This window comes from Homo sapiens, chromosome X, assembly GCF_000001405.40.
Source record: "Homo sapiens chromosome X, GRCh38.p14 Primary Assembly".
Lineage (NCBI taxonomy): Eukaryota > Metazoa > Chordata > Mammalia > Primates > Hominidae > Homo > Homo sapiens.
The window spans coordinates 28905421-28929763 of record NC_000023.11 but is presented as its reverse complement, the minus strand read 5'-3'; the positions used below and the strand labels follow the sequence as shown (position 1 = coordinate 28929763).

The window sequence follows — 24343 nt, the reverse complement described above, 5'->3', positions numbered from 1 at the left end:
AACCATAAAAATGATTTAACATGCATTTTGACATAAATAGGTAAATATTTATTGTGCAAACCATATGAGCTTCAAAATCAAACGTCTATACCAGGAAATGTGAAAATCATTCCCAGGGATTAAATTCCTGATGGGTTCTGTTTATTTCTCAGTGGCAGAGATCAAAGATATTATTCACTGTTGTTCAGTAAAGAAAGACAGCTACTAAATAATCATCAGGCAGCCTGGCTGCCTTTCAACACATGTTTCTCAGAACAGTTACAGATACCAAGTCAGATATATTATAGGTCTGGTTCCAGTGATTTGCTACTACCCTGGTGACTTCAGTAAGGAATGAGAGGAGTGGGAGAGGATATATTAGAAACAGCCACAACCTGGTACTAATACAGTCATGAACAGAATAACAATGTATCTGTCAATAACAGGCCACATAATATGATAGTGGTAGCATAAGGTTATAATATTGTATTTGAATTGTACCTTTTCTATGTTAAGAAATGTTTAGATACACAATTACTTACCTTTGTGTTCAAATTGCCTAAGTATTCAGTACAGTAACATGTTTGTAGGAGTAACAGGCTCTACCATATAGCTTAGGTTTGTAGTAGGCTATACTATCTAGGTTTCTGTAAGTACACTCTGATGTTTCCACAACAAAAAATTGTCTAAGAATGCATTTAGAACATATGCCTGTTGTTAAGTGATGCATGACTATATGGAAATTTCATATCACTGGTGTTTGTCTCAGTAAAGTGTCAACCAGAAGGAGTAACTTTGGTAGTCCCATAACTTCAAATAGTTAAATATCGCCTGATACTTGAAACAAAAAACAGTACAGTTTGTTTTGACTTCATCCTTATTTAATTCATACAAAGAGTTCAGATTCTAGAACAGGCAAAGCTCCAGACAGTGGGGATAAAATGGAGATTATTTTGTGCAGATAAAGATACATAATTAATCAGTAAATAAGTAAAATAAGAAAGATTTTAGAGAGCATAAGTTCCACACTGACAACTGTAATAGGTTGAAGTGATTGAGAGTGACTGTTCCTACTTTCGTTAGGTCAGGAAAGGCATTTCTGAGAAAGTATCACTTAATTAAGATTTCTGAGAAAGTATCAATTAAGGGAGAAGCCCACATAGAGATGATCTGAAGTAAGAACATTTCATGCAGAGAAACATCTACTAACTACATAAAGATGCTAATGTAGGAGTTGGCCTGAGATGCAAGTGGGAAAGGGAATGACGTGGGGTAAAAAGCTAGGCAGAGGTTAGGACATGAAGGATTTTGTAGACCAGGTTAAAATATTCAGATCTTTGCCTTAGGGTTATAGGAAGTCAGTGGAGTAAAATTACCTGGTCTACCTTTTCAAAGATTATTGTATCTGTAGAGGAAGAAGGGAGATTTAATTGTATGGTGACAAAAGAAAAAAAACATGACAGGAAATAATTGTAACAGTCTAGGTGAGAAGTAATAAGGGTTGAGATAAGGTAGTGATAATGAAGAAACAGAAAAGTGGCCAGATTTGGGGGATGCGAGGTACAGGAGACAAGATTCACTGATGATTAGATATGAAGTTTATAAAAGCATTTATAAATTTGACTTTAGTCATCGGGTCATAATGGAACCAGTTAATCAGTGAGGGCTCAGCAGGTTTGTTTGTTGTTTATGCTGGGAGGTCTGATGGAAAAAAATCAAAAGGTCTGTTTATGTTAAGTTTGACATTCATATTAGATACGTACTCCCATGGGTATGTCAAGTAAGCTGTTTGAGGGGAAAAAAGCCTCATGTTCACGAGATAAGTTAGAATTAAATATAAAAACATATTAAGGGTGATTTGCATATAGTTAGCATTTTAAAGACATTAGATTGGATGACTTAATCCAAAAAAAAGTATGAAGCTAGAACTGGCACTAACATTTGGGGATACAGAAATGATGAGAAAAGGAAACTGAGAGGGGAGGAAACCAGGATGATTTTATGTGGCTCAGTACAAAAGAAGACAGTTTTCCAGAAGGAGCAAGTAGTCAACTGTGCCAAATTCTGTGGAGGGATCAAGTATGGGAAGAACAGAGACATGGCCATTCAATTTGACAATGCAATAGTCATGTGACCATAGGATACAAAAACAAGAAAGAAAAAAAAAAAAGGAAGGAAAGGAGGAAAGAAAACCAGCCTATGTCAGGGAAGCCCTGATGAACTAATTTGAAAAGAGAATACGAGGTAAATAATTGCAATAAAAAGTATGAATAATTCCTTCTAGATTTTGATGTGTGTTTGCATGTAGCAAGGAGAGTAGAAAAACAAGGTAATATCCGAAAGAGAAAAGAGAATCAAAAGAGCGTATTTTTATATGGGTTTAAAGTTAGAAAACAGCAGAACATATTTATAGGCACACACAAAAAAATTGATATTGAAGGAGGAGAGAGATAATTTCAAAAGAACATGCATGAATAAGTTAAAAGTAAATGAAATCCAGAGTCCAAGTGGAAAGGCTGGACATGATATGAGAACAGGTAAACTTGTCAATTCCAGTAAAACTGAAAGGCAGGCCAAGAGTGTAGATTTAGGCTGGACACAGTGGCTCACACCTGTAATCCCAGTTCTTTGGGAGGCTGAAGCAGGAGAATCACTTGAGGCCAAGAGCTGAGACCAGCCTGGGCAACACAGTGAGACCCTGTCTCTGCAAAAAAATTTAAAAATTACCCAGGCGTGGTGGCATGCACTTGTAGTCCTAGATACTTAGGAAGCTGAGGTGGGAGGATTTATTGAACCTAGGATTTCAAGGCTGTAGTAATTAAGCTATGATCACACACTGAACTCCAGCCTGGGCAACAGAGGGAGATTCCATCTCTAAAAAAAAGGTGGGAAGAGGAGAATGTAGATTTGGATCCAGATGAGCTGGTAGATTTGCAGATGAAAAAATGAGGGAAATGGGGTGTCATATTTCTTTTCCTCAATGAAGTAAAAAGAAGACATAACTGTTGTGAGAGGGAGGTTTGAAGAGAGAGAAGAAGGTGTGAAAATCAGTTTAGAGAATAAGAAGTGGAAATGGAATAGGATGTTTGGTGCTTGGAGAGGCTGAATCTCCTTTGAGAATTGTTGTGGCTATGAATTCAAAATGAGATTAGTCAATAATATTTAGCTATTTGCATGCAGGCATTGAGATGGTTTGCTATAATCAAGCCTGTAAACCACAACTTAAAGAATAATTTTAGGAGAGGAAAAGTGATTTTTAGTTAAACTATATATGTTTTTTTTTTCCTTGTGCTGACCACTTTTTTAATGACAAGGAATGTACAGTGCCATATCAATAATTCTTACTAAGTACTCTTGTTTTAACAATACTAGATATTTTCAGAAAATACAACACCTAAAATGTACAATCAACTTTTTCTATGAGATAACTTGAATCTCAAATAGCTTCTATAATTCTCAAAACAAGTTGTTATGTTTTTAGAAGTCTGATCTTTTAACAAAATAGATAAAATCCCAGGGAGATGAACAGTTGAGAACAATACTCTTCAGTAGAACTTTCTGCAATGATAGAAATGTCTTTCTGTGCTGCTCAATACGAAGCTGCTAGGCACATTTGGCTGTTAGTACTTGAAATCTGGCGGCTGTGACTGAAGAACCAAATTTTCTATTTTGTTTAATTATAATGAACTTAAATTTAAGTAGCCACAGGTGGCTAATGGCTACGGTACTGAACAGCTTAGCTACAGAATCACCCATCCAACTCTTATTCATCACTAGGTATTTCTTAGTTATTTGTAAAGCAAATAATAGAATGTCTAAATATCTGCAAAACAGACGTCCTTTGGTTCTTTTCGTGTGTGTGTGTGAGACAGAGTCTCACTCTGTCGCCAGGCTGGAGTGCAATAGCACGATCTTGGCTCACTGCAACCTCCGACTCCCTGGTTCAAGCAATTCTCCTGCCTCAGCCTCCCGAGTAGCTGGGACTACAGACACGCACCACCACACCCAGCTAAATTTTGTATTTTTAGTAGAGACAGGGTTTCACCCTGTCGGCCAGGATGGTCTCAAACTCCTGACCTTGTGATCCGCCCGCCTCAGCCTCCCAAAGTGCTTTACAGGCGTGAGCCACCGCACCTGGCCCCTTTGGTTCTTAAGTTTAACTTGGTAGTTCTAAAACTTTAGTATGCTTGATAATTACTGTACAGGGTTGCGTATACAAAATCCTTAAGTATTGAAATAGGCAATTCACAAAATGTTTAAAGGTCATTCTAACTCCTGGCAATATTCACATAGTAAATTATAAATTCACCTTAAAGCCTGATTCTCCACTCTCTCACCCACCACAACAGTAAAAGTTGATATGTGCTGAGAATTGACTTCAAGAATTACTATTGAAATATTTGGCAAAAAGATGAATCCGGCAGGTAGTACGGTCATGTATCACGAATGATTTAGTTCTTCAAACTAAAATACATACTTAATTTTATGCAATTGTCTTCTCGTTAGGGAATTTAAAATATTCATTTAAAAGTATTAATTTGTTTTATCTTTATTGAAATTAATATTTAAATATTAATGCTTCCTTCCAGCTATTAAGTCACATGGAAATTTTAAAACTCCATAACACTTAAAATGCGATAAAAATTCTAGCATTAGGTGGACTCCTAAGTTATATTTCTATATTTATGTGAACATTACAAGTATATTTTTGTTTCTTCTTTACATGGATTGTGTTAAGTTTTTCAATGATGTAGATAACAGAATGAAAAAAAAATTCCTCTCAACAGGTGGTATACGAAAAGTCAGAATGGCAGGTGTAAACTGTGGCAACACTCGTTATGATAAAGAAAAGTCCAACTAATTTCAATATGAAAGAAATGAGAGAATGACATGGCCTGTAAAAAAATCATGTGCCCTTGCTTCTTCCAATTTAAAAGTAATGTACTTTCCTCAGTTGAATATTTCAATAGTATAAATGAAGTTTACTTTGCCACTTATATTTTCATTTCTTCAGTGAAAATCCATGTATTTCCATCATGTACCTACTCCCTTGCCAGAGGATGTTTCACGTGAGAGCCACATAAATCTTTCATTTTCAAATTTAGAAGATCACTTTTCTTTTCCAGGATTCATGTTTCGGCATGTATTCTTTGAAACTTTTCTAGAAAAGTTTCCTGTGTGGGCAAAGAACCAAAAAATTGTGTTTATCAGTCTGGTAGTGAAGATCCTCCGGGTACTTCTGAGAAAATTTCATGAGACCCACAATTCCCTATGCCATTCAGCATCTGTAGATAGAATAAAACTGATTCAATGTACTTCTATTCACATATTCTCTATCAAATGTGTTCATCGTATTATGATGACTGATATTCAAATTATTTTTAAGTGGTACTGAATTGTTTTCTTTATGGATACTCATTAATGGGTATTAAAGTTTAAGCTATTATTGCATGTAATCTTTAAAAAATTATTACTAAAATATTCCTCATATTTAACAAAAAATTGGCAAACCAGATGATAAACCACAGATTCCTTCTTAAATGTTGGCACAGCAAATGGGATTAATGTTATCATGTAGACTAACTCCATTTTAGTAGAATTTTAAAGCAAACAGTATTTTTTAAATTATCGTTTGTTTGTTTGTTTTCCATTAGAGTCCTTGGCATTCATCAACACTTTCAGATGTCCCTATCAAGATAAATTTCATCAGAGGCTGTTTGTTTTTAGTGAGGGAACTACAAATTGAAATCTTGTATATATGAGCCACTGAAAGAAGATACCATGGGTAGCTACAGGTCTAACCCCCAAAATCCATAATAGGAACAGTGCCATGTGAGATTTAAGTTTCAAACATTAAAAGTTTTATTTTAATACTTAATTTAAAAAATTCTTATTACATGCTTTGAAGATGACAAAAACCAATATTTTTGAAAGTAACTTTGATGAAGCAAGAGTACTTCCAGTATTTTAATATTAATATATTATAGAATTATAATTCAAGCATGTTTTAAGCTTTTTCCTCGCATCTTATTATGAAAAATTTTCAAACACACAGAAAAGTTGGAAGAATTTTACAGTGAACACCCATATACCCGCCATCTAGGTTCAATAATAAATTGTATTATATGTGCTTTATTACATACCCACCCATCTATTCATCGTTTAATCCAAATATCACTCCATTTTATTTCAGTGTAAGTTGCAGACATCAGTACTCTTCACCCTTAAAACACTTCAGCAGGCATATCATTCACTAGAGTTCAATATTCATGATCTCTTAATGCAAACTTCATATATAAAGAAACGTACAGGCTGGGCACGATAGCTCACACCTGTAATTCCAGCACTTTGGGAGGCTGAGGTGGGTGGATTACCTGAGGTTGGGAGTTCGAGACCAGCCTGACCAACATGGAGAAACCCCGTCTCCACTAAAACTACAAAGTAGCTGGGTGTGGTGGTGCTTGCCTGTAATCCCAGCTACTTGGGAGGCTGAGGCTGGAGAATCGCTTGAACCCGGGAGGCAGAGGTTGCAGTGAGCCGAGAACGCACCATCGCACTCCAGCCTGGGCAATAAGAGCGAAACTCCTTCTCAAAAAAAAAGAAAAGAAAGAAAAAGAAACGTACAAATCTTAGGTGTACCATTCCATGAGCTTTGACAATCAAATGTGATTATTATTCACTGGCATTTGACTGGCATATATATTGAAATAAAAGTTGAAAATAAAGAATATTATATTTTTAATCTGTTACTTTTACTGTTGGGGTAATCCAAATGTTTCCACAGAAAGTAAAAGTAAATTTACTCCCAAGTATTTAATTTAACAGATTTACAGGTCACATTTACCATGGAATACTTAACAAATATACAATAACCACAAGAATTACTCTCAGTGTTTAATTATAACTTACATTTTTCAAATGTCATGAATTTAAATTTCAGTGAAACACACTGGAATAAACTTTCCAAGTACTGATTTCAGGGTTAATCCACAATGTAGTCTCCTTATATAAGTAGTAGATAATGTCAATTTTGTCATTCAAGAAAAGATTTTAATTAATTCTTTGATATTTGTCTTCTTTGTGTTTCCAGCTCTTAAGAACTGATTCGCTTGACAGTGCTACTGAAATTTTAGGGTGCAAAGGGCCAAGATGGCTTGAAACACTCAATTTCTAGCCAAACTACTTATTTTTTAAAATGTCAAAGAAGTATAAAAAGATGACCCTGTTCTGAAATGAATCAACAGAGAATTTAAACCTGTCAAAAACCATAGGATTTTGATATTGAAAATAGTGACAACTATTTTTAATTTCAGCAACAAAAGACTTTATGTGAGTCCTTGCTTTTACTTTCAGCATTGCCAACAGTATTTGATATGTGCCGATGATGGAATCTTGAAGTGGAAATTCTATAGGAAAGGCTTATTTTGCTTCCTTTTAAGAAGGAATGCATACAAGAATTTCACATTGCAGGACTACATTGCCCAACAATCACTCACTTTGTTCCAGTTGGAGACTTATGACCAATTTGCTGATAAAATTTGGCATTAGCCTTTTGAAATGTATAAATTACATTATTGCTTTGGATTCTTGTATATTCTAGCAGGGTAGAATGAAACTTGACCGCCTGATTTCAAACTACTTGTACAAGAAACTGAGGTAGTTTCTTGATTTCAAACTACAATACAAGAAACTGATGGACATGTAAATTTCTCAACAGGCGAGAGCCACCGCACCCAGCCCAACTCCTTGATTTTTCTTAGTCATTGACCATTATATTAAAACTAAGGCAAGTTTTTTCCCCACAGAACATCAATTCACAAAATCATAAAATAAAATCTCAAAAGTACAAGGCCTGTTCACTCCAAACCAAGCTTCTTACTTTGGGAAAACTGTTAACATGTGTTAGTTGTGCCCACTTTGATACGTTGGTTAGTGGCTAAAATGCCTACCGGTTCATCAGAAATCAGTTACCTCTTTCCAGCAGTGCCATGGGTGTTCCTTTATTTTTTGGCTTTATAAGGTCAACAAAAAGTATTAAACGGAAAGAATTAAACCCACAGTGTGAATCCAAATATGCTGCTGGCAGAATACTTTGCCAGAGTAGGCAGGATGCTTTCTTGACTTGAAATCCTCACTTCCTCTTTCCCCCAACCTGCTTCTTTGTAGTTTGAATCTAGTGTAGGCTATTCCTAAGGCAGATGGTCTCTTTCAGCTAGCTGCCCACAGCAAGGTGGTCTTTACTGATAGATTTGGGGAGGAAGGGGAAGAGGGAGGGTAGACAGGGAAAGAAAGGAAAGAGAAAATGTGGCTTCCACCAGAAGGGCATATAACACCCAGTAATTTGAAACATTTTTGAGTTTAATTTTGCAAGAGCATGGAATTAAAATGCCTCCACACAGAGTATTTGGAGATGCTTGTCCTAACAATCACCCTTTAACTTTCTTTTCCATTTTAACATTTTGAAAATTGGGTTGCATCTTAAAATTAATGTGCCATCTAATATAATGGCTATTTCCTTCAAAACTATGAATTAAGTGGTAATACAATCAAATTAAAGAACTATGAGTATTCACATTTAGTCTTTATAATTACCATTTGTCCCAACTCCACAGACTTTAGAAACTATAGTTCCACTCGTTTTTTTTTTAACTCATTTTTCTAGATGAATCCACAGAACCTTTATTTGTGTAAGAAGGAAGCTTTCTGCTCTTCTCTTCACATTCTAATCTCAATCCCACCCTCAAGTAGGGCACTTTGCTCTCCCTCCTCCTGCATCTTACCTGACCCAATAAAAAGGTAGTATCCTATTTTTCAATGGTCATAATTATACATGCAAGGAGCTAAAATGTATTACTGGGCTGGGTTAGCTTCTCTCAATGTAAGAACCAGGTCAGGGGATTTCTGTTTCTCAAAGAGGCACAGGTAGTGCCTCCATGTGCATGACAATTGCCTATTCTTTGTTCGTTTTTCCTCAGCCACTCCTGGCCCACTTGTCTTCAATTAACGGGCAGACAGCAGAAGGCCTTATTTTAGGTTCAGGCAGAGCAGTTTGCTCTTTATGCAGCTATTGTTGACAGAGAGTCTTGTATTCTAGTACATATTGGATGACTGCCAGATACTAATAAATCAAGTACTTCAGTCACCATTTAGCTATCAACCCTTTGTATACAACTTTTGAAGAAGGGTGAGTGAATCTTAGCCTGGAACCACAACACCCCAAAACTACAAAAGCTGCAAATCTACTAGGACTATTTTTTTTTCCTGCTGCTGCTGCAAATGCTACCAAAAGAAGAAAAGATTTTACAGACATTTATAGCTCTAGGTGGGAAAAATAGTACTTTTCAGGCTGAATGATGTCTGAAAGACAATAGCGTTACTTCCTTATTAGGAACAACTCTGCTGCAAACACCCACATCATTGAAACTGTCATCATTGGGGCAACCGAGGAAGATTCAGAGCAGCAATATAGGTCAAATGACACATTCAAACCAACACTCAACTGAGAAGCAAAAAGCCAGTTTTACAGCTTAACAGAGTGCCGTATTTTAATCTCATTTAAGCAGGATTTAAAATATAGGTGTTGAGGAAGCTGTTGAGGTTTTCCAAGACAAGAGCTTATCACATAATGGTTTTGTGAAAAGGCTGATTCAGAAAAAAATGATATAACTGTTACTGGATGCACAAAAGAAAAGAAGGCAAAAGAATTATCTGATGTTGTACATTGTATCCCCCAGAAAGATCAGGCATGAGAAATGAACTTTGAGCTGTCTTCTCTTCACATTTTAAGACTAGATAATGAAATTTATTGCCTGCCAGTCCGTAGTACAATCAGACAAATTTAAACAATTATTCATGCAAATACATAAAGCTAACCTAGCAAAGATAACTACACTTAAACTTAGTATGTTGTCTTGAATCTGAAATCTAACAGGCATTCTTGTCCTAGTATATTATATGGTCACATGGATTTTATACTTTATAAAAATAATTTGCATTGTAGACTTTTTAATCACATTTGTCAGCTATAGCATTCATTTTTTATTTATATTATTTATGTATCTATCACTTATGGAATGCGTATGTGTCAGTCACTGGTCTAACCATTTTTCATAGATGGCTTTACATAACCAACAACTTCATAAAGTAGATGTCATTATGCCTATTTCCAGATGAAAAACTGAAGTTCAGAAGGGATAAGTACCTTACTCAAGTGCAAATGACTGGTAAGTGGCAGAACTAGAATTCAAACACAAGTTTGATTCCAAAGCCCATGCTTTAAAAAAATTCCTCTATAGTTTTCAATTCTATTTTTGTTTCTGAATACATTTTAACAGTAACTATAATCCAGCATATATCGTAAGCATCTTTTTGAGGAGATGATGTTAATTTTATGGGAGAAGAGACATTTTCAGAGATATGATAAATGTCTTTAATTGCACGTTAATAAACTACGACTACAGAGAGCAACTGGTTGTCCCATGCTCGTGCAAAGAGCAGAGTAGCATTAAGTGAACAGATCACAGTCAGATATATTATGCCTTATGAAATAAGTTAATAAGGGTTGAAACACTGTATGCTTGATGAAATAAATTTCCTAAGGGCAACAGACATTAACAGCTGTTCAAGTACTGTTCATGTCCCCGTAGGGAAGTATATCACTCGCGCAGTTATTGAACACATGTGATGTTCCTGTAGTATCTTTCATCTCATTTACACCAAGAAAGAGTAAATAAGTATTTTGGGGCTTCAGCAAGAACAGCCTTTAGCCTCACAGACACTCTTGTCTCCCATTCACCACTTAGTAGCAAGTTATTTTCCTAAAAATAAAAATTAGAAACAATGTTAATTTCCTGCTAAAAACCTTTCAGTGGCTTCTCATTGCACTCATAGGCTTCAAGAAGCTCAAACCCCCTACAAGGTTTTATATGACCTACAACCTGTGTTATCCAGCACTTTGCCAGACCAATCCCTCCTTCCAAAGTAGGCTTCCCTCTGCTGTGTTCCCAGCTCAGAGCTTTCAATCAGGCCTTTCTATTTACCAGGAATGCTTCATCCTTAGTTTTCATACACCAAACACCTATTTAGCATCAAGTCTCACTTCTAAAGTTCAGATAAATTTCCTTGATCTATCCATAAGATTAATCACTTCTGTTTTCACTTGCATGACATCCTGTACTTTGCCTTCCCAGAGCCTATCTGAACTGCAATTGGCAAAGGGATGTGATCAGTCCTCCAACTTGTTGAAAGAGCTGCTCCAATAGAGAAGCAAATATTTTAATGTCCTAGCCCTGTAAAAGTATCTTGAAAAACTAATCTTGCATGGGGGGCATTGGGCCTTTTAAATTGGAATTCCCAAAATGTTACTGGTGGCATCCGTTTCAGATAAAAATGCATTCATTTTATTACTTCTTCAATTTATTTGATTGGTTGGGTCACTGTCATTACTAAGAAAAAGTTTGTTCTTTCTGAGTAAATGCCTCTGGTCCTCTAATTTTTGTTTCAATATGATATTTTTGTGTGAGAACTGTTAGTAAAACATTTTTATGTTACCAGTGTTAAAAGGAGATGTTTAATATAATAAGATATAGTGACTAATAGTGTTTCTTGAAAGAAGGAAGTTACTAATGGAAAAAGTGGCATTTGCCAGAAGTGACAGCTTGTCAAATTGACTGTCAATATGTTTAAAGAAAATATTCATATAAAAAAGGAAATCATGAGGAACAACAACAGCAAAACAGGAATTATATTTTGAAAGTTAAATTTTTACAGTGCCCTCAGGCAGATGGAGCTCAACTTTCCCATTTAAAAAGTAACCTCATACATATAAAATAAGCATACATTTAATTGGACATCATTAACAAACTCAGAAGAGAAGAATCTAAGGGAAAAAATACATCTTAAAAAATAGTAGCTCAGTTCTATACATGGATGGTGATGATGGCTGCATAACAATGTGAATGTACCTAATGCCACAGAACTGTACACTTAAAATGTTTAAAGCAGTAAATGTTACGTATGGTATACCACAATTTTAAAAAACACAGTAAGCCAATAATTATTTATTTTCACATATCCATCTAGAAACACATTTGCTGATATTTCCAACTCAGGTATAGTGTGTTTGAAATGTGGAGCCAGTGAGGGGTTGGAAGAACAGGTATTGCCTCAACCTTTCAAAAATCCAGAGATAAGTTCAATTACATGGCCTATCTTCTCCCCTACTAAGAATCACTGAATCACTGTACTTGAACCATCAGCCCACAATCACTGCAGAGTTACTTAGTCTCAATAAATTTCATTTAGGCACTAGGTCTATAATGAACTGAAAATTAAATCTTAATATACTGTTGGCTCAAAATGTCACAAATTGCGTGTCATATCACAAAAGAATGATTTAATTTGATTTCAAGATAAGGCACATGAATATCTCCAGAATTATCATTGAGGTTGAAAAATATGTAAAAATGAAGGTAAATGAGTTGTACAATATTTTCCCTTGCTACAATATCATTAAAGAAAATTGGCTTATATGAAGCTTTTTTTAAGATATAGTAGAAACACTACTTTTATATTATCTTTTCTGTATCAAGAAGCAAGACACATGTCACTAATAATCCATCTTCCCTCAGGCAATGAAGTCCCAGTTAAAATACATTCAAATGAGGTTATGTTTCAAAAGTGAAGTAGAATTATTCCATAGTGGAAAAATTAATGATATTTATCAGAAAGGACGCAAGGAAAAGGAGTTTCTTAGTAGGAAAAACAAACCCCAAACTGTAATGCACAATTATACTCTGTGATTCAGAGGATAATGAAAACATGGTTGCTGAATCTGAAGACACAGTCATTACATTGGGAGCCATTTAGAAAAAAGTCATTCCAGATCTAAATTATAATAAAAGATTCCTAGAATAGAAATGTTAGTTTTAAAAAACAGAGCAGCACACAGATTTAAAATGCAGTCATCTGGCTCTGGGTATCTGACAAGATCGATCTTAAAACTTCCTTACAAATGTGTGAAGCTCACCTAGGTAATGCATCATCTGTGCTTTACAGGCTTGGTATTCCAAGTTTGCTCCAATGACCAGCTGCATGGGCATCCTCTGATAATCTGGTGGATATGCAGAAAACTCACTCCCCAAGTCAGGCCAACCAGATCACCATCCCCTTAACAATCTCTGCAGGTGCTTCCTACACAAATTAAAGTTTCAAACACACAATTCTAGCACAGCTCTAAAGAACACATGCAGAGCATCTATTCATAAACTGTTAGGGCTTGACAATACACAGCTATTCTGGGCTAGAGCGCTGGAGGTAGTCTCTACCTTTAGGCTTGGGGTACACTAGTTCTTGAATATGTTAAACCCAAATGAAGATGTGACCCTGGTTGATTCTGAGCTTGTAACCATTCCCTTTGAATGCATGTTCATAGATTGTTATTTACAACTTCCTGAATGATGACGTAAGCTGGGAGAATAAAAAGCCAGTGTCCCAGCAAGAATTGACCTAAGAATGGGGAAACAGTGTTTCTGGGAGTTATGTGCCCTCATTAGGGATGCTGGGGGCCAAGGTGTAGGCTACATTTGCTCCTACTCTCTGTGGTTATTCTAGGTTTTATATGCTTGACTGACTAAAATTAGGAACTTAATCCAATTTAACAGTGAATGTTAGTAGGGAAGAAATAAAGTCTCTTCCACACTAACAATCAGCCCATCAAAATGCACTACATCCTCTTAAATTGTACTTAGTTTTAATGTTTTCATTCTACTTGTAAGTAGCTGATTTCACTTAGTTCTTTATTAGCTATTTCAAATTAACAAGCATATATATATATATATATACACATACATATATAGATAGATAGATATATTTGTTTTTTCTTTTTCACTATTTAGAAGCTATGCTAGTGTTAACACTGCTACCCAAGTTAAAAAAAATGAATATGTTGGCCAACAGATGTTTGGAATATATCAAGAGCATTTACAGGTGCTGTTGAATTGTAATTTATTCATCACCTATTGTCTCATTTAATTCTCAAAAACTGATAAAGTAGATCACCTTTTAATCTCATTTATAGATAATAAACAGAGCCTGAGAAGCATGGTGTAAAAAAATAACAGGCTCTGGAAAACACTGTTGGGATCAAATCTCGCGTCAACTCTTTAATACCTGAGCTACCTAATCTATCAAATAGAAACAATAATAATAATGTACTTCTAGTGTTTCTGGGAATAGTAAATAACCCATACATGTAAAGTATGTGCAACAGTACCTGAGATGTTATACGCATTCAATAAACGTTATTTTTAAGCAACTTTTCTAAAGAAACATCATTAGCATTGGGGCCAAGATACAAAGGGAAATCTATGACTTTGGAGCCTGAGGACTTGCCATTACATTATATTGCCTAGACCTATAATCTTCCCTAACTCTTCTTAAAACATGGTAAAATATCAGAGAATGAAGCAAGAATCCAGAGCAGGGTTCCCCGACCCCCAGGCTGTGGACTGGTACTGGTCTATGGCCTATTAGGAACTGGGCTGCAGAGCAGGAGGTGAGTGGTGGGCAAGCAAGCATTACCGCCTGAGCTCTGCCTCGTCAGATCAGCAGTGGCATTAGATTCTCACAGGAGCACAAACCCTATTGTAAACTGTGCATGCAAGGGATCTAGGCTGCATGCTCCTTATGAGAATCTAACTAATGCCTGAAGATCTGAGGTGGAACACTTTCAACCCCAAACCATTGCCCCTGCCCCCCATCATCTGTCCATGGAAAAATTGTCTTCCACAAAACTGGTCCCTGGTGCCAAAAAGGTTGGGGGCCACTGATCTACAGTTTTCACTGTAAAACCTGGATTTTCATATGCCTGTAGTTCATATGCCTAAATTTGTAACAAATGGGATAGAAGAAGAAACAAATAATATCCTCTTTACCAAGCGATTAGTTTTTATTAATGGAAAGTTCATCTGCGAGTATTTTCATAGAGTATATACAGAATATCTCTTGCTGAGCTAACACATGTTTTGCTGTCAGGCAGCAACATTGAAAACATCTATATCAACCTTGTTTGTTTAGCTGGAGTTAAATAATGATACTCAGTATTTGCAAAGTGTTTTACAGTTTCAAAGTATTCAAATAACAATGTGTCGTACAGGTAGTGCAGATATTTTTAGTCCCATTAAGTACAAAAAAAAAGGTTCAAATGTTGAAGTGTACATGAAAGTCTGAAATAAGATGGTGACATTCTGAAGCAATTTACTTAAAATTTTACTTACCAAATATTCGCTTTGACAAAAGAAGTAATAAGATACAGAGTTGGTGGAATAATTTAAGGTCATTTGTGGGAGGAGGGGAAGTGACTTACAATAATGAGACTTGAGATCATCTAAAATTATTCAATGGTAGATGGCTATATGATGAACATTTTACATTTTTCAAATAATTGATGACTCTACATTTGATATGTGTGTTATATTTCCTGTGCTTATGTTAATTCCCTAAGTTTCCTAAGTATAGAGTCCATATTTCCTAAGTATAGAGTCCTAAGTATAGAGTCCATAAATGAGGTAAATACCTCATTTATCTTTCTGTACCGATCCAGCACAATGTCTAGGTATTTGCTGTCATCCCACTGAGTTTCCTAGGTCTTCACTTAGCACATAAAAAATGTAGAAATATTGAAATTTTTGACTAGTTTAATTTCTGAAATTTATCTCATTCAAATTACCCTAATTATTTGTATCTACTTGAGTTTTCTGGGTATAAAAACACAAGGTAGTATTTCCAAGTTCTCAGTATTATATATCACATGATGGTATTAGGAAAAATGATAACATTAACAAGATTCCAAATGCTCACAGGAGTACCTAAAATTCAATTTCTGATAACATACAACTGGTAAATGCTTTGATTATCACTATTTTATAGGTGAGAAAGCGGAAGTCATATAGCCAGAGCTGAACTTCAACTAGATTGTTCCATTTCATCAGATTATTTTCACCCTGAGTTGACAGAAACAAATATCTTCATGTTTCTATGCCATAAGAGATGCTGTATCTAATTCCCTAAGTTTATTTTATTTTATTTTATTTTTAGAAACAGCGTCTTGCTCTGTCACCCAGGCTGGAGTGCAATGATGCAATCATAGCTCATTGCAGCCTTGAACTCCTGGGCTCAAGTGATTTTTCTGCCTCAGCCTTCCAAATAGTTGGCCTACGTATTATTTTTTATTTTGTATTCAGCTCACCATTAGGCAGTTTAAAGGATATAAAAATCTCCAGAAAACATATGCTGACCTTAAAGGAGGAGCTTGCCATCAATTTGAGGAGCTAAGAAATGCTTACATTGAAACTGAAATACCTTTCAAAGGCAACACACTGTTAAGCATAAGACTATGAAGTACAATCTAAAATTATGTATGTAATTCAAAAATGGATGTAGTCAGCATAAACTGGCCAGAACCAAAATTCTAGAGGTGCAGATCAAGAATTTACAAGGATAGACAGAATGATTGCCCATGTTCCTTTCTGGTACAATCATATTCTCCATTCTAATGTGAAATAATTATCTCCAAAATACCCAATGATTATTTTTAATAAACTTCTACAGAACACTTCTTGCACTCAATCTTCAATTATTAAGTCCTTTTGCTCATCTTCCTGGATCATTACATTGCTCATTAGGACCTCCCATTAGAAGAGAAAGAAACCCACATTACAGAATGGCATCTTGTAAACAGCTGTTTTCAAGGGTGTTAAGTTACCTGTCACCACAAATAGAAGAATCTGATGGAACACAATAAATATAAATTAAAACGAATTTTATTATTAATATAACTGAATAAAATAATCACAAAACCTTTTTAATGGAAACACTCTGGATGACAAAACAACCATAAACTTTTGCTGATGATTCCATTTTTTTAAACTGAGCTACAAAAAAATTTTTTCAAAAGGTTAGAATAATGATTCCCTTTACAAGCTCTGTGGCTATTATTAATCTGATAGAATTAAAATTTAGCAAGACAAGTTTCTTAATACAAATTCAGGTGCATTTTAAATGTTAGAACCTGATATGGGAATAAATTGCCCATTTCCAACATCAATATCACTGCAGAATCCTCATCTCAAAGTTCCTCACCACTTGCTAAATATCCATACATAAATGTGTTTCAATTTCTCATACACAACAAATATACACACGGAGACACACACACTCATACATCTATAGTTATATATACAGACATTATATACATGGATGTTTGTATATGTGTATATATACACATATTTTTTCTATCATTTCTCTATCTTAATTTAACATCTTATCCTCTCAAAAATGGCATAATGGAGCCAGCATAAAATCCGGAATAAAATCCAAATTCTGCCACATCCTAACTGTTTGACTTTAAGCAAGTTTCTTAACCTCTAAGAGCCTTACCTTCCATAACGGTTCAAATGGAAGAGTAACACTGAATTACTGCACAAATTAGAAAGAATGTGTGTAGTATCTACTATGATATAAGACAGCATGTTCTCATTAAGAGGCAATTTGTTGCCTTTGTTGCTACTGTTATCCCTCCCCAAACATGCTCTTTTTCTTGAATTGCCTTTTCTTCAGTAATGCCATTACCATTCATCTTATCCATTGGCTCAAAACCTTAAAATTATCTAGGATACTCCTCCTCCACATGGAATCAAAGGCAAAGTGCTATAAATTCTTCCCTTGGAATGTATCATGAATATTTTCCCAATGCTACCATCTCGTATGTTATTGTTACCATACTGTCTTCAAGGTGAACTGCCATCAGTACTCTGATAGTGTCCTTCCCTGCAGTTTTGCTACACTTAAAGCTCTCTACACATTACAACCTGACAAGAGTATTGCTTTCCTTTTGTCAATCTACTGATAAAAACTCTTCATGGCTCCCTAGTAGCCTAAACACACAAACACAAATCCAAAGTCCCTGACGATTGGAAGCAATATACCTTCTAGCCCCATTTAAAAAATCTCCTTTTTTAGTCATCCAAGCAAACATTTATTGAGTGGACATTATGTTCAAAGTGCCATTTCTGGACATAGGAATACAACTGTGAACAATGTGGTCATGTTCCATGACAATAAGAACTTTCTTTTTAGTGACAGATAACACCATTAAACGACCAATCTTTAATTCTATATGTGATAAGTACTTGGTATAAATAAGTATAGAGTAGGTACTGACAATATCTGAGAATCTGAGAATGCCTTCCTGAGGAAGTGATATTTGAACTAAAATTTAAAGAGGAGTTGTGGGAGTTGAGAGGATACAATGGGGGAAGTGGAATTCTAGCAGAGAAAATGGCAGAGCATGTAGGACACACCGCCCCTCCTTGCTTCATGTCAAATGAATTATTGATGTGTTTGAAATCTGTATTATTCTCCACCCAAAGTTTGTGTATATTTTCTTTTCACTTTGAACATTAACCGTACTGAAGACACTGCTATGCAACCTCAATTACTTCCAGAAAAAAAAGCTTTATTTATGAAGTAAATACTTTCCTGAAAAATTCCTTTTAACCGTATAAACAAAAGATGACTTGATGTGATACTATGCATTACTGTACTAAAATAAAAAATCAACTTGCTCTATAGTGGAAATATTAATGATTCATGAGATTTTTCTGCTAATGAACTTTTTCTCCTTCATTTCAAATATTCGTCATCTAATTTTAATATAACATTCATTCAATTCAGAATATATTTGCATTTTCTTTGCTAAAAAATAATCACCCATTAGTATTCTGTACTGCTTTTAGGAAATTATTGGTGTATGACTGTGTCAACAGATTGAGCCTCAATAAGTAACTTTGATATCTTAAATTGCTTTGAGGGAGACATTTTTAATGCCATCAGATATCTTCTCCCAATAAATTCTTCAACCTTTATCAAAATAAAACTACATTTTCTATTGCCAAAATGACAAAGACAAGACAGATTATGTTTTAAAAAAAGACCTCACGTGTTTTTTTTTTTAATGCAGCTACTCTAAATCTATTAACCATTGGACAGTGATGAATTAGGGTTACACATAAGCACACTTAAGCAGCAACCATTATCTATATTAGTCATCTATCTTAGAATTCCTAGGGTCAGGCAGTCTTACAAAAACAAGTGTAGTATAGTAAGACTCATTCCAAAAGCTTTACAAAACGTTTTTTTTTTTTAACTTTTCAAATGAAAATTATTTCTTCTTTTTTTAATGAAAACATAGTGCTGAACCTAACACTGATGACAGTTTCAGCCTTCTTGAAATTCTTTCCTCTTCTGCTTTTGTGACACTGTACTTCATGCTTTAGTATATAAATCTCACTTTCCTTTTCTATATATGCAGTAGAAATGTATTAAATATGTATTGACCTATAAAATAAAGGGAATGACACAGAATCCTAAGATTTCACATATTACTAACATCAAATGTTTTTCCTTGTTGTCACTGTTAAAATCATAACAAACAAGGAATCAGGTTGGGTTGAGAATGGCAAAAGTTATCAGTGATTCTCAGATCAAATAAAGAAAATCCCTTGAAGTTTGGGGGAGAAAGGCTTCCTTTCATGTCAGAGAACCAATAGAATTATGCTCAAATAACAACATTCTGAGTTGTCTTTTTTCAATGGTTACTATCTGAGCCTCACATTCTCAGACTTCACGAAATGAAGAGCTAATTAGTGGTATTTATTTGTTTTAAGTAAGAATATTTCCTTGTAGTTGACATAGAGTTGGCAGAATTGATTATATTAGCCTGGCTAAAATACAATACTCCAAATTTCACAGGTGGTCAAAAGAATAAACAAGAATTTTAAAATGCTGTTGCACAAAATATATCCAGAAGAAGTTGTTTTTAAAGCCATACTTGTATTTTGAGAATTCAACAGCAAATTGCTTTATTACATCTTTGTGGAAGAACAGATTGAGGGCTTTTGGTGAGTTTGCAAATTTGCGAAGGGGAATAAACCAGTTTTTACTATAACCAGAGAAAAGTTTTGCTCAAAACAAAAAGCTGTTACTGCTACACCTCACAATATTTAAGGAAAATTCTTTAAATTCTAAATAAAAAGGATTGTATTTTATAAAATTTAAGCATGAATGGGAAGTAAAGGGACTATCATTAATCATTTTAAATCAACATTATTGAGAAAGTTCTTCAGAAATTCAATATCTTCTTAAAGGATTGAGTTAATCATCTGAGTAAGGTTCAGAATCAAGTTAAATGCAATGCCTGAAAAATGAAGATGTTTATAAAAAGGAAATAAGGAGGTTAATGAAATGTTCTAAGTTTAAAAATTATGGAACTGACATAGATTGGCTATAAACTGTCAGGAAACAATGCTATATGAACAGTTTCATGTTTCTGCATGGTCAAGGCTTTCGAAAAAAAGAAAACTAGAAGTTCACAATAGACACTTTCAGAGAGACCTGCATATATCCCCCCAGAGCCATTAATTTATGTTGCAAGGAATAATAAACCTAGTGACTTTAACTTCCTTTCCCCAAAGAACAGATGCAATAAATAGAAAACAGTTACAAATATGACAGTCATTAATCCATCTGTATCAATATTTACTTGAAATGTGAATGGTCAAAATACACCAATTAAAAAACAGACTGTAAGAGTAAATGAGAAGACAAGACTGAACTTGATGTTGTTTACAAGAAACCACTTTAAGTATCAAAGACAGATAGGTTGAAAATAAAAGAATAAAGAATGATATCGCATGCTAACATTATTTTAAAAAAACAGCTGGAATAGCCATATCAATGTCAGATAAAGTAGACCTCAGATCAAGAAAAGTATCAAGGATAAGGAAGGACGCTACATAACAAAAAAGGGTAAATTCTTCAAGTAGACATAACATCTTAAATATGTAAGCACCTAATGAGAGTATCAAAATACACGAGGCAAAAGCTGATAAACATGAAAAGAAAAATAGATAAATCCACTATTAAAGTTGGAGATTTCAACCCTCCTCTTTCAGTAACTGATAGATCAAGTAGGCAGAAAATTTGTTAGGATACAGTTGAACTGAACAGCATCATCAATTAACTTGATATATTCGACATTTATAGAGTACCTTATCCAACAACAGCAGAATACACATTCTTCTCAAGCTCACATGGGACATTCACCAATATAGACCACATTCTGGCCCATAAAGCACACTTTAACAAATATAAAGGAATAGAAATAACATGAAGTATGCTTCCAGACCACAATGGAATTAAACTAAAAATCAATAACAGAAAGACAGTTTGAAAATCTCCAAATATTTGAAAGTTAAACATACTTCCAAATAAATCACGAGTCAAGGAGAATTCTCAAGAGAAATTCTAGAATATTACTAAATGAAAATGAAAATACAACTGACCAAAACTTATGGGATGCAGTGAACATACTACTTAAGGGAAATGTATAGTATTAGGTACATGTACTGCAAAAGAAGAAAAGATCTGAAACTCTAAGCTTTCACCCTAGGAAACCAGAGAAAAAACAACACTTTATATCTAAAAAAGAATATAAACATCAAAATTTAGAGCAGAAAACAGTGAAACTGAAAGAAGGAAAATAGAAAAAAAGACATCAAAAGCTGGTTCTCTGGAAAGATCAATAAATTTGACAAACCACTAGCCATGCTAGCCAAGAAAAAATGAGAGAGACAAAAATTACCAATATCAAAAGTAAAATATTGATCCCACAGATATTAGATGGTAATAAAGCAACAGTAGAAATAACTCTATGGTCAATAGTTGGATAAATTATATTAAATAAACCAGTTCCTTGAAAGACACAAACTCATACAAGGAGAAACAGATAATCTCAATAGGTCTATGTCTATTAAATACAATGAATTAATTACTAATAACCTTCTAAGAACAAAAGAACAAGGACCTGATTATTTCACCAGGAAATTCTACCAAACATTTAAGGAAGAAATATTAATCTTCCAATATATTTCATAAAACAGAAGTAAAGAAAATTGTTCCTATCTTTTTCCAAGAGGCCAGTATTAACTTAGTACCAAACCCTAATAGACATTACAACAAATAAAAGCTATCTCTCATAAATATATATGCATAAATCTTCAATGAACTATTAAATAATCTAATCCAACAAAGCATAAAAAATTACATACACCATGAACAAGTGGGATTTATACCAGGTATGCAATGCTGGTTCGATATTTAAAACATCAATTAGGTTGGGCACAGTGGCTTGCGCCTGTAATCCCAGCACTTTGGGAGGTTGAGGTGTACGCATCACTTGAGGTCAGGAGTTTGAGACAGCCCTGGTCAACATGGCAAAACCCCGTCTCTACTAAAAATACAAAAATTAGCCAGATGTGGTGGTGCATGTCTGTAATCTCAGCTGCTAGGGAGGCTGAAGCACAAGAATCGCTCAAACCCGGGAGGCAGAGGTTGCAGTGAGCCAAGATCGTGCCATTGCACTCCAGCCTGGGTGACAGAGTGAGACTCTGTCTCAAAAAATACTAATAAAAATAAAAATAATAAAACATCAATTAATGCAATCCGCTACAACAAGAGACTAAAGAAAAATCATATAATCATATGAATTCATGTAAAGAAAGACTTGGCAGAATCCAGCACTCATTCATAATAAAAACTGTCAGAAAATTTGGAATAAAAGTGGACTTCCCCAACAAGACAAAGAATATTCACAAAAAATTTACAGCTAACATCACACTTAATGGTTAAAAAAAAAACCTGGTTACTTTTCCTCAGAGTATCATCAAGGCTATTTTTCACAACTAAGATTCATGTTTCCCACATAAAAAATAATATGCATTTCACTCTCTAAACTTTTTCATTTTAGGTTATCTTTCCAAGTGTTACTTGAAACCATTCTAACATTATCATGCAAAATAAATGCAAATCTAACTTTGGCTGGATATATTAGACTTACGTTGTAGACTTAGACTGTAAACTTGAGAGTATGATGTGATTTTGTCTTCTGATACATAATAGATACTCAAGAAATAAATGAAAAAAATGAAAAGAATGAAAGATTGTAAAATATCTTAATTTATTTATCAGTTTAAATCAAATTATTTACCTAAATAGCTTGGATATATACATATGTCTAGTGAGAAGATATTAATTTTTCCAAAAATACTTTGCTAGCTGGGGAAATAGTATTTTCTCTATTCATATTTGCTCTTTGTTTTGAGGCACTCAAACCATATTTTACTCAATTACCCAACCACTTACTTCCTTCTTAATGCTTATTTCACTCTTAACTCATCTAGCCAATATAAAATTTCTCACCATGGCCCAAGTTTCCTATTACCTCATTACGTCTCTGACTTGATCTCCTACCACACTCCCACTTACTGTGACTATCCAAATGTGCTTCTGACTCAGAGCCTTTGTCCTAGCAGTTCCTTCATCCTGAAATTCCTATTACAGACAACTGCGTGGTTTCTTCCCTTGCTGATATGGTTTGGCTATGTCCCCACCCAAATCTCATCTTGAACTGTACTCCCCATAATCCCAACATGTCTAGGGAGACCCCTCATGGGAGGTGATCAGATCACGGGGGTGGTTTCCTCCATCCTGTTCTTGTGATAATGAGTGAGTTCTCATGAGATATAATGGTTTTATAAATGGCTCTTTCCCCTTCACTCCTCACTCTTCTCTCTCCTGCCGCCACGTGAAGAAGGTCATGGATTCCCTCTTGCCTTCCATCATGATTGTGAGTTTCCTGAGGCCTCCGCAGCCATGTGGAACTGTAAGTCAATTAAACCTCTTACTTTTATAAACTACCCAGTCTTGGGTATTTCTTTATAGCAGTGTGAGAACGTCTGGACTAATAATATACTTGCCTTCTTTCAGTTTTCACTCAAATGTTAATTTTTCAGTTACAGGCCTTCTTTCTCTTACTAAGAATTATATCTCACACATACACACTTCCTACTGCCCTTCTGTGTTTTTATTTTTCTACATACCATCTTTTACTTTCTTATTATCACCCTCTCCCCCACTGAACCGTAAACTCCATCAAGGCAGAGGTTTTTGCAATTGTTCTTTACATATGAAATAAATTGTTGTGATTTCAAGAATTAGTATAAATACTCTAAATATGACTATCTTAATATAACAACATATTTTAGTAGTTATTAAAGAAATACAAATTCATTCAAAATGTTCTAATTCAGAAAGATACCACATAGAGAGTTGAACCTGTTCTGAATCTCACCATTCCATTCCCACCCCAATTGTAGGAAAATCATTGTTAAATCTTTGGTAGATTTTCTTCTCTATATATTTACACAGAAAAGTATCATACCATGATCCATTTTGTTCTCTTTCTGGT

The 24343-nt window shown here is 34.7% G+C and overlaps 1 protein-coding gene and 1 pseudogene across 2 annotated transcripts in view; both read right to left on the bottom strand.

The window, feature by feature from the left end:
* Positions 1-24343, bottom strand: part of IL1RAPL1 (interleukin 1 receptor accessory protein like 1) — a 1369273-nt gene that overhangs the window by 1026955 nt on the left and 317975 nt on the right. The gene's annotated exons all lie outside the window — the stretch shown is intronic.
* On the bottom strand, positions 5626-5695 carry LOC124900494 (uncharacterized; annotated as a pseudogene).